The sequence below is a fragment of the Homo sapiens genome, chromosome 19 (assembly GCF_000001405.40).
Source record: "Homo sapiens chromosome 19, GRCh38.p14 Primary Assembly".
In the NCBI taxonomy this organism is placed as follows: Eukaryota; Metazoa; Chordata; class Mammalia; order Primates; family Hominidae; genus Homo; species Homo sapiens.
This window is the reverse complement of record NC_000019.10, coordinates 28,121,004-28,133,996: the sequence shown is the minus strand read 5'-3', so window position 1 is coordinate 28,133,996 and position 12,993 is coordinate 28,121,004. Positions and strand designations below refer to the sequence as shown.

The 12,993-nt window shown below is 42.5% G+C and overlaps 1 annotated feature.

The window, feature by feature from the left end:
• Positions 2,916 to 3,461: an enhancer, noted in NCBI's record as "NANOG hESC enhancer chr19:28621443-28621988 (GRCh37/hg19 assembly coordinates)". NCBI's record gives its function as "activates a minimal SCP1, AML or CMV promoter by ChIP-STARR-seq in naive H9 embryonic stem cells {active_cell/tissue: H9 hESC(naive)}" and the evidence as "EXISTENCE:reporter gene assay evidence [ECO:0000049][PMID:30033119]".

Genomic DNA, 12,993 nt, shown 5'->3' with positions numbered 1-12,993 from the left:
TCACTGACTATAAGATGAGGAGGCTGGGGCCCAGAAAGGCTAAGTAAGTTATTCAAGGGCACACAGCAATAAGTAACAAGATTAGGTGTTAAACCTGGTTAATCTTACTCCAAAGCCATCTCCACTTTACAGAGCTTCTTCTTTACACTTCTTGATGGAAAGCCCAGGCTTGGGCATCTGGAGAGCTGGAGGCCAGCTTCTTGTCTGATGCTGATTCCCCATGAGAGCTTGGGCCTCTGTGTTCTCCAACTCTAAGAAAGGGAATGAGACAAAAACACTTGGAAAGCTTGTTAAAACAACTAGCCCCAGTTGACAAGCCAGAACCTCTGAAGGTCGGGTCCAGAACACCACATTAAAAAAGAGAAATTACAGATGAATTTTATATTAGTTTCATGTTGTTGTGACAACAAATTACTACAAATGTTGTTCCTTACAAACAATGCAAATATATTATTTTAGAGTTTTGTGGCTCAAAAGTCTGGTATGGACCTCACCAGGCTAAAATCAAAAGGTTCAAAGGGCTGTGTCCTTTCACTAAACTCTAGGGGAGAAGACATGTTCTTGCGGATTCAGGTGTTGGCAAAATTCAGCCCCTGAAGTGGCACTGCTGAGGGCAGTGTTTCCGTGTGGCCAGCAGTTGGCAATCATCTTTACCTCCCAGCATTTCCTCCTGGTTCTTGCACATAAGTCCCCTGTGTCTCCAAATCCACATGGGGTGTCACACCCTTCACACGCCACCATCGCTCTTGCCTCTTCTTCTTGTCATGGCTTCTCTCTGGCCCACGCTTCTGCCTCCCACGTCCACACACAAGGCCCCCCTGGGTAATTCAGGGTACCCCCCACCTCAGGGTCCAGAACGCTCATCACATCTGCAGACTTCCTTTTCTCAAGGCAGGTGACATAGTCACAGGTTCAGGGATTAGGGTGTGGACATCTTTGGAGGTCCACTATTTTGCCCATTCCAAATCCCACACTAAGTAGTGAGAAGATGGTCTGCCACATTATTTTTTTCTCTACAATAAGTATTTTGGCATGACGGCCTTTTGGTTTTACTCCCTGTACCTTGAACAACTTTCTTTCCCCTCAGCTGCAGCTCATTGTTTCTGCTGCCTGGAGTATCTTCTCCCATCACATGTCACTGTGTTGAAGCAGCACACACCATTAGCCAAGAGTCAGCTTGAACCCTCCCTGCTGTACAAAGCCGTTTCTGGGACCCTTGTCAAAATATTATTTTGTGCCTATTGTCTTATAGCATGCCACCTTATAGCATTCCACATGGGACACCTCCCAGGCTGCCTGGCCAGCTGTTTGCCCGCAGTAGGCACTGTGTGTGTTTGTGTGTGTGTGTGTGTGTGTGTGTTGAATGGAACCAATGGAGCAGAGGCTTTGCTGGCCCAGTCACGATGGTCTTCTTCTTCTTCCAGAGATTGTGTTAGCCTAGCCATGTGACCCAGCATTGGCCCTTGGGTACACTCCAGTGATAACTGCTTAAACAGAGTCACACAAAATATGGTGCCACTTCATGGACTTAGATTGCCATTTTTGCATCTAAAAATGTTTATAGTAATTTAATGGACTAATTTTATGCTTGCTAAATCTAATAATAATAAATAATTGAAGCTTGGATTTGTATATATTTTCCTTCATTAATTTGTTGATTTGTATTGTAGTTTACAAAAATATTGATTCATAATGGATTGAAAATAAAAACAAACTAATTCTTCATCTCAGATAGTTTGAGAAGCTAGGGAACTTTGAGGAAAGGCTTTCATAACTAAAAGGAAGGATGTTCCTTCTCTGTGGGGTGTGCCGCATCTACACATGACACTGTATTCATCCAAGGGATCACATAAGAATTCTATATGGTTGGAATGTCAGAGCAGGAAGAAGAATTCCACCCTGGTGAAATGCCAGAGCTGAGGATATCAGAGTAGGACAGGCTGCTGACATTTATTGGTAACATTATTAGCTACTACTCACAGAGCACTTACTATAGAACCAGCACTTTTCTACATTATTTACACAAATTTACTCATTTAATCCTTACAATGTTAACATACCATTGTTACCCTATTTTACAAAAGGAGAAACTGAGACAGAAAGAAGCTCAGGGGCAGGCCTGGCTCCCGAACTCAAACAATCTTATTACAGAAAATGGCTCTTGACCATAATGACGTGATGGAGCCACAGACTGATGAGAGTTGAGCCACCCTGGAATCAACTATCCCGGGTTTCTGTATGTGAGGAATTAAATCCCCCTATCTGAGCCACTTTAGGTTGAAGCCATTACCTTTGGCCAAAAACACAGGCACTGACACAGTGAGAGAAGGACTGTCTCACCTGAAGTGTGTATTTGCTCACTCGCTGAGGAAATGGCTGGTAAAGCAATGGGTGCCATTGAAGGGGTGGGTTGCCCCTCCACACCTGTGGGTGTTTCTTGTTAGGTGGAACGAGAGACTTGGAAAAGAAAAAGACACAGAGACAAAGTATAGAGAAAGAAATAAGGGGACCCAGGGGACCAGCGTTCAGCATACGGAGGATCCCGCCGGCCTCTGAGTTTCCTTAGTATTTATTGATCATTCTTGGGTGTTTCTCGGAGAGGGGGATGTGTCAGGGTCATAGGATAATAGTGGAGAGGAGGTCAGCAGATAAACAGGTGAACAAAGGTCTCTGCAGCACACACAAGGTAAAGAATTAAGTGCTGTGCTTTAGATATGCATACACATAAATATCTCAATGCCTTACAGAGCAGTATTGCTGCCCGCCTGTCCCACCTCCAGCCCTAAGGCGGTTTTCCCCTATCTCAGTAGATGGAACATACAATTGGGTTTTATACGGAGACATTCCATTGCCCAGGGACAGGCAGGAGACAAATGCCTTCCTCTTGTCTCAACTGCGGAAAAGGCATGCCCTCCTCTTATACTAATCCTCCTCAGCACAGACCATTTACGGGTGTCGGGCTGGGGGATGGTCAGGTCTTTCCCTTCCCGTGAGGCCATATTTCAGGCTATCACATGGGGAGAAACCTCAGACAATACCTGGCTTTCCTAGGCAGAGGTCCCTGCGGCCTTCTGCAGTGTTTGTGTCCCTGGGTACTTGAGATTAGGGAGTGGTGATGACTCTTAAGGAGCATGCTGCCTTCAAGCATCTGTTTAACAAAGCACATCTTGCACAGCCCTTAATCCATTTAACCCTGAGTGGACACAGCACATGTTTCAGAGAGCACGGGGTTGGGGGTAAGGTCATAGATTAACAGAATCTCAAGGCAGAAGAATTTTTCTTAGTACAGAACAAAATGGAGTCTCCTATGTCTACTTCTTTCTACACAGACACAGTAACAATCTGATCTCTCTTTATTTTCCCCACATGCCATCCACTCCCAGTGAGTGTTTGCAGCTGAACTGTCAGCCTCAGGCCTGTAAAGTTGAATAGATTTGTTAGTGAACAACACTCATAACCTTATCTCACCCATATCATGATTTCATTTGTCCTCTAAATCTTCCTCTAGATGGTGTGGAAATAAACTCTTTAAGACACGTAAGCAGAGCAACTGCAGAATAGGCAGGGAAGTGCCGTGGCCAGCCCACCCACAAACACCATAATCAAGCAGCCTCCCTCCTGTGCCTCCCTCCGGATCTCTTTCTGCTCAAGGCAGACTCACACTGCTGTCTTTTGCAAGTGTATTTACATCATACTTCCTTCTAAAGCCAGGCCAAGAATTCACCTGCAGGGCCTGCGAAGATGCTGTCACATCTGTGTTTAGAGGCTTCTGAGATTTACAGAGTAGATTTTCCTGGCCCCACTTGTTCTCTGGTTGAGACAGGTCAAGTGGACCTTTATGACCCCTCTTGAGGTGGCTCATTCTTGAATGACAGCTGCAGTCTCTCTTGGTGGCTTGAAGGTTTTTACTGAAGGCCATGACCTAACAACAAATGATTAACTTGGCATGTTGAATTTAGACTTTCTGGTTTGAGTCACAGAAAATGAGATCAGAGTAGATGATTTTCACTACTTTCGCTTCATAAACATCTTTTTGAACTTATCTTTATCTTTAATTGCAGAAAAGTTATTTTTAAAAGTTATTTTAAGAGAGAAAGCTATACAAGCTTTCTTCTAAAGTCAATGTTAAGGGATTTATCACTGTAAGTGACATTTTTTTCAAAGCTATGTTGGTGAAGATTTAAACTCAGGGGTTGAGAAGGAAAAGATTAAGCAGATGTCACTGTTTGAGTTGAGGCTGTGCTTTGCAAATCTTCTTCCCCTTTAGCAATAAAGACAGAAGTAGTGATATTGACATAATCTGCATTCAGATCATCAGAATTTTTTTGGTTCATAACATGAATCAAATACAGCTTGGCTCGATTCAACGCAACCCAGCCAGAATAATGTTTTGATTTCTTAATCTTACTCTTCTTCCTAAAAATGATATAATGGAGAGCTACCAGAGTCAGATTCCTCCTCCTTAGTGGACATTAGGAGAAACCAAGTCAGAGTGATTACTGCCCCATTTCCCTTTGACTTTGGGAATGAAAATAAATTGTCTCAGCTCTTATAGACAGCAGTGTGTGTATTAGGCCATTCTTGCCTTGCTATAAAGAAATATCTGAGACGGGATAATTTATAAAGAAAAGAAGTTTAATTGGCTCACAGTTCTACAGGCTGTACAGGAAGCATAACACAGGCATCTGCTGCTGAGGAGGCCTCAGGAATCTTCCAATTATGATGGAAGGTGAAAGGGCAGCAGGCTTCTCAGCTGGCAGCAGCAGGAGAAAGAGAGAGGGAAGGTGCCACACACTTTTAAACAATCAGATCTCACAAGAACTCACTCACTATCAAGAGAACAGCACCAAGGGAATGGTGCTAAACCATTCATGATGAAACCACCTCCATGATCCAACCACTTCCCACCAGACCCCACCTCCAACAATGGGGATTACAATTTGACATGAAATTTAGAGGGGACACATCCATGCTATATCCATGTGCATATGGGCAGGGAAGTTTGCTAAAGGTGTGAGTACTGAACACAGTAAAGGCACTTTCATAAGTGATGGTGGTTAAGGCTAACGGCCCCTCATTCATGAAGCTTAAATTCTTTTCCACTTAGAAAGACATTCCAAAACAGACTCAACTGAGATTTTTTCTCTGCCTCTTCATGAGAGGTGAAATTATAGTGATCTGAGAATCTAAGCCATAGTCCAGAAGGAATCTTCTGTAAGCCACACCCATCCCAAGGCAAATGAAGCCCCAAGCAAAAGTCTTCCATCCTGGGGCCAGGGTGGTGGTGGTGGAAAATGAGGGCTGTGTGAGTGATGCCATTTTTTTTCTTTTCCTTTACACCCATGCGCTCAGTAGGCAGGCCTTTCCTCCTTTTTCAAGAACCTGATGTTAAGAGGGCTTAACTGGAGGATGAGCTTGAGAATCTTGGAATAAGCCTCTTATGAGCCACAGCAATTGGCATAGAAACCAGGCCGGCTCACACCTGACAAGGGGTTGGGTAACCATTGACATCTTAAGGATTTCCAATTGAGAAGCTCTCCCAATGAAGACCCGGCTTGCACAGGATGGAGTCTTTTTTTTTTTTTTTTAGTTTATTTCACACACATCTGTTGCCTATTCTTGGTTGGATTCTGCTCTGGCTGCTGAGCACATGGCGATAAAAGCCAGAAAGACATAAGAATGAGACTTCCAGTGATGGAGGAGAGATGGAGTTAACTAAGTAAACATAACCTGTATTACTTAACCCTGGAAGTATCATTTGCTGTGGAGCTCAGAGTGCTGGGTGTGTGGGGAATAGGGCAGCCTGACTTGTCCTGAGGTTCAGAGAAGGCTCTCCTATTTGATGGAAATCTGAGATAACTAGAAACTGGCAAAAAAAGAAAGAGTTACAGGCAGAAGCAGGAGCACAAGGAACGAGAGACAAATGTGTATTTGAGGAATAGAATGTATAAAGGGCACCTTGGTTTAGAGCCTGGAGGGTGATGCAAGTGTTACAGACCCAGGACACACTCAGGGTTACATGAGGAAGACCTCAAAGGCCACGGTGAAGAGCTGAAAAGAGCCTGTTAACAGAAGTGGGAGGCGTTTTAAGCAGAGTGTAAGATTAGGTTACTGTTCTTCGACAATCACAGCAGTTACTATGTGTAAATGGATTGGAGAAGAAAAGACATAAAATGTGAGGCCAGTCAGTAAATAATACAATTGTTCAGCAAGAAACGATGAGTGGCACTTGGGTGTTGTGGCATGGGTGTAAATTTTGTTTTGTTTTGTTTTGTTTTGAGGCGGAATCTCGCTTTGTCCCCCAGGTGGGAGTGCAGTGGCGCAATCTTGGCTCACTGCAAACTCCACCTCCCGGGTTCAAGAGACTATCCTGCCTCAGCCTCCCAAGTAGCTGGGATTACAGGCATTCACCACCATGCCCAGCTAATTTTTGTATTTTTAGTACAGACAGGGTTTCGCCATGTTGGCCAGGCTGGTCTCGAACTCCTGACCTCAGGTGATCCGCCTGCCTCAGCCTCCCAAAGTGCTGGGATTACAGGCGTGAGCCCCAATGCCCGGCCTGGGTGTAAAATTTAAATACTTGTCATCCAAATTCACTTCTCAAACCTTTCTATCCACTCAGAGGACAACAATGTTATGATTCTGTATGTGTTAATTTTTTATCAGGGTTTACGTATCAATTACATTTGTAATGCAGAATAGCTGAACATGTAGAGAGTCACAGATGGGTCCCTTTGCATACTCAAGATAAGCAGTGTAGTTTCATGGGGCTTGGGCACACAACTAAAGAGATTTTCATCTATTACAAAGTTGTGCTTAAGACAGTTTTGTCATAGCTCTGATTTATTAGATGTTGAGCTCTTGGTCTAGAACAAACCTCCAATAAAGGCATTGTTTTTGTGGGGAAATGCAATTAGCTTTATAATAGCATGCTTTATGGGTGAATTCCCAGGGGATTCTTTGATAAAAAGTGAGAAGTGGCTATACCCTATTGATTCATTTATTCATCCAACCATTCATTTTTGAGCACCAGATATATTCTAGGCTAATTATGTGCTAGATACAGGAGATAGCAAGATGCCCTCAATAAGGAGTTTGGAGCCCAAAAGGGCCAGGCTCATCTTCAAGCAGGAAAATCCCAAACCTAAACTTCATCTCATCAGAACTCATGATAATCTCTGCTGTCATATTTTCTCACACCACCCTTTCTCCCACTTAGCTGGCCCTTTATTGCATCCAGACAGACATTATTCATAGGCACAGTTCCCTAGAGACCCAAGACAACGGGCCAAAAAGAAAAGGCAAAGAAAGCCAATTTGTTCAAAAAGATTGCTGTGTAATATCTGTCTAGGCCTTGAGTTTTGTGGCTTAGTGTTTATTCCCTACAAATGACTCAGTATCTCAGAAATATTTTAAAGTGAACCTTTAAAAAATCAACAAACTGTGTCTTTTTCTACAATAAAATTATCTGAGTCAAAGGCACTGCCCTTCATTGATAAAATAGATAATATTTATTAACTCCCTGATGTAATGAAAGATGCGGTGTTTAGAGATGCAGCAACCATGTGGATGATTTATCACTGAGCCAGCTTCTGAAGCTGGCTTCCCAGGCCTGACACATAAATAAGAGCTCAGAATACCTCTTTTTAGTGACCTGGACTTTATGCTATATCCTCTCCTGAGACACAAGATAAACACTTAGCTTCTTTTAGCAGAAACACTTTGAAGACATAAAAGCTTTTCCAAGAAATCATTTATAAAAGCTGCTGCCTTTGAGAGGCCTGCCCATGGCTCTGTAATGAAGCAGTGGCTTATGTTTTTCTTTCTCTTGCTGAACTGTCTTGTTGTTTATTCTTTTTTGTGTTTTTAAAATGTGCTTATTTTTCAGAGGCATTTGAGGATGCAGCCAGAGCACAGAACTGTTTAAAATGTATAATTGTTAACCAGCAAACCAGGTCTGCGCTTTTGTGAAGGAACAAGCAGAGGGAACTGTCAGCTGGGGTCTCAGAGCTGGTTCCAGAAAAAAGTTCTCCGGAGATTTTATGTGTAATACCTGACTGTTTCCCAGCTCTTAATTTCTGTGAGTGTCTATCACTAAGCAGGTAGCTCTAAGGGTCAGAAATGGCATCAAAATCCTGCAACCTTGTTTATCTCCATGGGCATATGTACCTGTGTGAGAGAGACAGAGACAAGGAGAGGGATAAATCAAGATGAAAAATAATGGCTTCCACAGTTATTGGTAATGATAACAACATTAAGAGTGGTAATAATAATAATCATATTAGTAGAAACAATAATAATGATAGTAACAATGACTACATTGTGTTGAGTACTGCTATGTGTCAGACACTGAACTAGAGTTGATGTTCATTATCTACTTTAATCCTCAGAATTCCAGAGAACAGATTATATTAGTCAGAATAGGACAGGTTATGCTGCAGTAATAAGCAAATCTTGAAATCTCAGCAATCTGACACAAGTTGGCTGTGTTTCTTACCATATCACAGTCTGCTGTAGTTTCCCTGGTCATCCTTCTCCAGCAGAAACTCAGAGATTGAGCTGGTCCCTTCCTGTCACTCTCCATCTCCAAGTTCTTAGATCTCTTGTCTGTGAAGTTGGAAGCAAAGTGTGGAGAACTTGTATCTTTCCTTAAATGTATCAGATGAGAATTGAAGTGTTCCAATTCCCCTTACAAACTATTGGCCAGAAATCTTCAGATAGCCCAGACAAACTGCAAAGGGGCTGTGAAGCAATGGGAAACCCATGAGTTACTTATTGAGCACGACTGTCTCTGCCAGGCAGATGCCACAATTGTTACCATCTTTTGGAAGAATGAGAGATTTTGAGGGGTCAGTCTCACCATAACGAGAGGCAGGACCAAGGCTGGACCCAGACTGGGGGGACCCTGACCCTGCATACTCAAAAACAGGGCTCAAGTACCTTGTTTGTATTCTTTCTGGATAATTAGATTTCTTCTTTCCTTCATTCCACAAACATTTGACAAGCATCCACCATGTACCAAGAGCTGCCCTGTGCTCTGAGGATACCACAGTGGACAAGTCAGATGAGATTCAAGAATAAAGGAGACAGATGGCTGTGGGGCTGAAGCTTGCTTTTTCTTCCTACTCCCCAGACTAATTTCTTGAGCAATTACTGTGTACATAACACTGAGCCGAATAGATCCTGATCTCAAGAATTGTTGATCTATTGAGGTAAACAGGATGTCACAGTTCTTTATGCTTTATAGGACTCTTATGCTCTGCCTGATTACCAGGTGGAATAGACCAGTTATTGTGGGACCCATGCTAGGGAGAGGTCTAGACATGCTCCCGTGTTACAGGTGGAGTGTGAACAGGCGACAGGAAGTAAGATGTCTAACAGATATTGATGCAGTGAAGGATGAAGAGACTTGCAGGAGCAAAAACCCACAGTCAAGGGCATCACGTCTGTCCAGACAGATGCAGCAAGGCCCACACTCATGTAGAAGGGGAATGTGTGTGCAGGGCATGTGTGGCGGCAAGGTTGGAAGCCTTCTGTCATCAGAAGACATGGAGAAGGCAGTCCAGCAGCATGGTCAGCACTCAGGCTTTGCCATGAGACAAGACTGAATACCAGCCTGGCTGCCCTCCTGCTGTAGCCTCAGACATGTCCCTTATCATCTCTGAGTTTTCATTTCCTAATATTTTAAAATAGGGATAATTTTCGAACCCTCTTATAAGATTGCTGGGAAAATTTAATTACATAATCCTTGTAAAGTGTCTGGCACATAGAATCTAGGTTTAGGCCACGCCTACTTATTTAAACAGAAAGCAAAAGTGAAGTGGCTCATGAAGTTGATCACGCAGTGTGTTTGCTCCATACTACATCCAGAATCTTCTCGAGAAGAGAGAACCTAAACATAACTTTCTCTCTCTCTTCTCTCTCACCATCTGTGTCCCTTTCAATCCTATTTCTATTTATCTGTTTAAATCAAAGTGCAAAGACAGACATATTAAGACACAATTAACAGAGAAGACAAAGGCAAAGTTAAAAGACAACTCCCAGTGACCCCATATTTGTACTTAGAGAATCATAAAAGGTGCTTCCTCCCTGGGGCAGGCAGGTTAGGTGGTGGCTGTCAGGTAACTTCTGGATTCCTACCTCTCAGGCTTTTCATTGTTGAGACTGATTGAAGGATATGATTGGTATGTTCTTGTTTCTAAGGACTCCAATATAACATTAATCTCTTCGGGAATGTGTGGCAAGGATACTAGTTCTTGGAGTGTGTTAGAGATGGCAAAGCCACTGTGGCTCTTTACAGAAAATTTTTTAACTCCAGAGACATACTTGTTTTTTGGAATTAACAACTTTGCTGGCTGTTTTCCAATTAGAAAGAGCTTCTTTTCTGTAAGCAGACAAGCATTAAACATTTCATTAGTTTTTGCAAAAACACTTCATGTTTTTAACTAGAGAAAAAAATAATATTTTCTCGTCTCAGAATTGTGATACTCAACACATGCTGGGTTTTGAGAGTAAATTGTCCCATCATTTGGCAAGGATGACACTCATTTTTTTCTAACAGACTTTCAGGGAAGCACATTACCTCTCAAATTGCCAGATGCAAGCTGCCTCAAACTGATCTAGAACTGGAGCCAGTACTATGAGTTTCAGCTGCTCAGAAGAGCACAGGAAGGCTACCTTTTCAGAAAAGTATTTTGAGCACTTTATGATATTAGCTTCCTTGTAGGGTAAGGTGCCAAGGTAATTTCAGTCTCCCCTGTGATATAAAGCTTCTGCTTGCTGGCTTACTGCTATTTAATACTGATAGCTTCTGGATATATAATAGTTTATATTTATTTTACTAACTTAAGGGTCTGCTGAGAGGACTCAGGTAAGGAAGTGTATCGCTGACTATTGCCATGTGGCAGAAAGGGAGCTTCCTCTCTATGGCCTGCCTTAGCATCCTCAAGTACGCTCGGGAGACAGGTCACCTCGCATCCCTGAGAGCAATTCTGCCTCTGGTAAAGCCATAGATTCTGGCTTTGAAACTTCCTCAGCAGAATTTATGACAGACTGTGCGATGCCTCACTCAGGGATGAGTGTGTGCAGGTGCATCATAAGCAGCTGCTGAATAAGTCAGTTAATGAATGTCTACATGACATATTCAGGAGAGTGGAAGAAAAGGGTTCTGTAGATAATCCTCAATTTACCAGAGATTCTATCATTTTGCTCAATGCATATTTGTGGTGGCTCATTCTTTCATGGAAGTGTTTTGTGCCACTATTACAAATAAACTTTTGTTTGTAGATATAACACATTAGGAAGTTACTTATATTGGATGTGAGATATTATGCCATATATGTATTTGTATTTATAAACATAAATGAAACCTTAACACATAAGGTAATAACAGCATATCAATTATCTATTGCTATAATTAAGGCTGTGTAACAAGCAACTCTGAACATGGTGGTTTCACATAGCAACCATTTATTTTCATTCACAGGTCTGTGGGTCACATGAGCAGTGCTGCTGATCTTGGATGAGCTTGCTCATAAGTGTGAGGTCAGTTGCGTGTCTGCTGGCTGGCTGATCCAGGGTGGCCTTACTTTGAAGGACTGGAAATCTTGACTCTCTGTAATATGTCTCTCATATTCCTATAGCAGCTGGCTCAGTCGTGTTTCATTGTGGAGGCAGAGCTTCAACTACAAGCAAGAGGAAACTTACCCGACCTCTCGAGCCACAGGCTTGGAGATGGCACCGTGTTACCTCCTCTGGATTCTACTGGCAAAAGCAAGTTATAAGGTCATCTCAGGTTCAATGAATGGAGAATAAGCCCTCTTTTTGAAAAAAGTGAAGAATTACTTCAATAAATTTATCATAAGCAGGGAATAGTATTAGCTGGAATTACCAAGCATAAGCTAGGAACAACAGAATAACCAAAGATAAAAATTGTAAATGTTTAATTAGAACCCACTGTTGGAGCTAAAGATTTAATGTTCAGAGGAATTGATGGGGGAAGCCTGATAAACAGATGGTGAGGCTAGGACCTTTTACCCTGGGGAAATTTCCTGGAGGTTAAGAGCCTAGGAGAGAGTTGATATGGAATTACTATAACAAATTGAATGGATGAAATCCCACTCTAGCCTCGTAGGGATGGACTAGCTCTACAGGCCTGTGTCCAAGCACAGCCTCACTGTCTGTCTGTCTGTTTGTCTAGAGTACAAGAAAGAGGTTATGACCTACTCTCTTACCTTTGTAAACTTTATTCTTACACAAATATTTAGTAGACTAAAAGTGAGAAGAGCTGGGTGTGGTGGCTCACGCCTGTAATCCCAGCACTTTGGGAGGCCGAGGCAGGCGGATCACGAGGTCAGGAGATTGAGACCATCCTGGTTAACACGGTGAAACCCTGTCTCTACTGAAAATACAAAAAAAATTAGCCGGGCATGGTGGTGGCACCTGTAGTCCCAGCTACTCAGGAGGCTGAGGCAGGAGAATGGCATGAACCCGGGAGGTGGAGCTTGCAGTGAGCTGAGATCACGCCACTGCACTCCAGCCTCGGCGACTGAGTGAGACTCCGTCTCAAAAAAAAAAAAAAAAAAAAGTGAGAAGAAGAAACCTATACATTTACTTCTCTCTCTTTTCTCTAGCCCTATCCCATATAATCTTATTTCCATTTTGTTCTGTGTTTAGATGGAAGTGGCAAAGGAAGAAATGTTAAGAAACCATTAACCAAAGACAATCTCATCTTTGTTTCTCAATACACCCCTATACATCCTAGGCTTGGTGCTAATGTTTCTGTTGTGGGATAAAGTTGGCCAATTTCAATTAGATTTTTGAAATTAAAAATGAGATAGCAGATATTTTGGTTCTAGATCTGCATATAATTTCCTACATGGCGGTGAATCAATCAGTTATCCATCAATCAGTCAGTCAATCCATTTAGGGCACATATTATGTTCATCTCCATTATAAGGAAAAGTAAGAGCCAGGATCCCTACTGCTATGAGC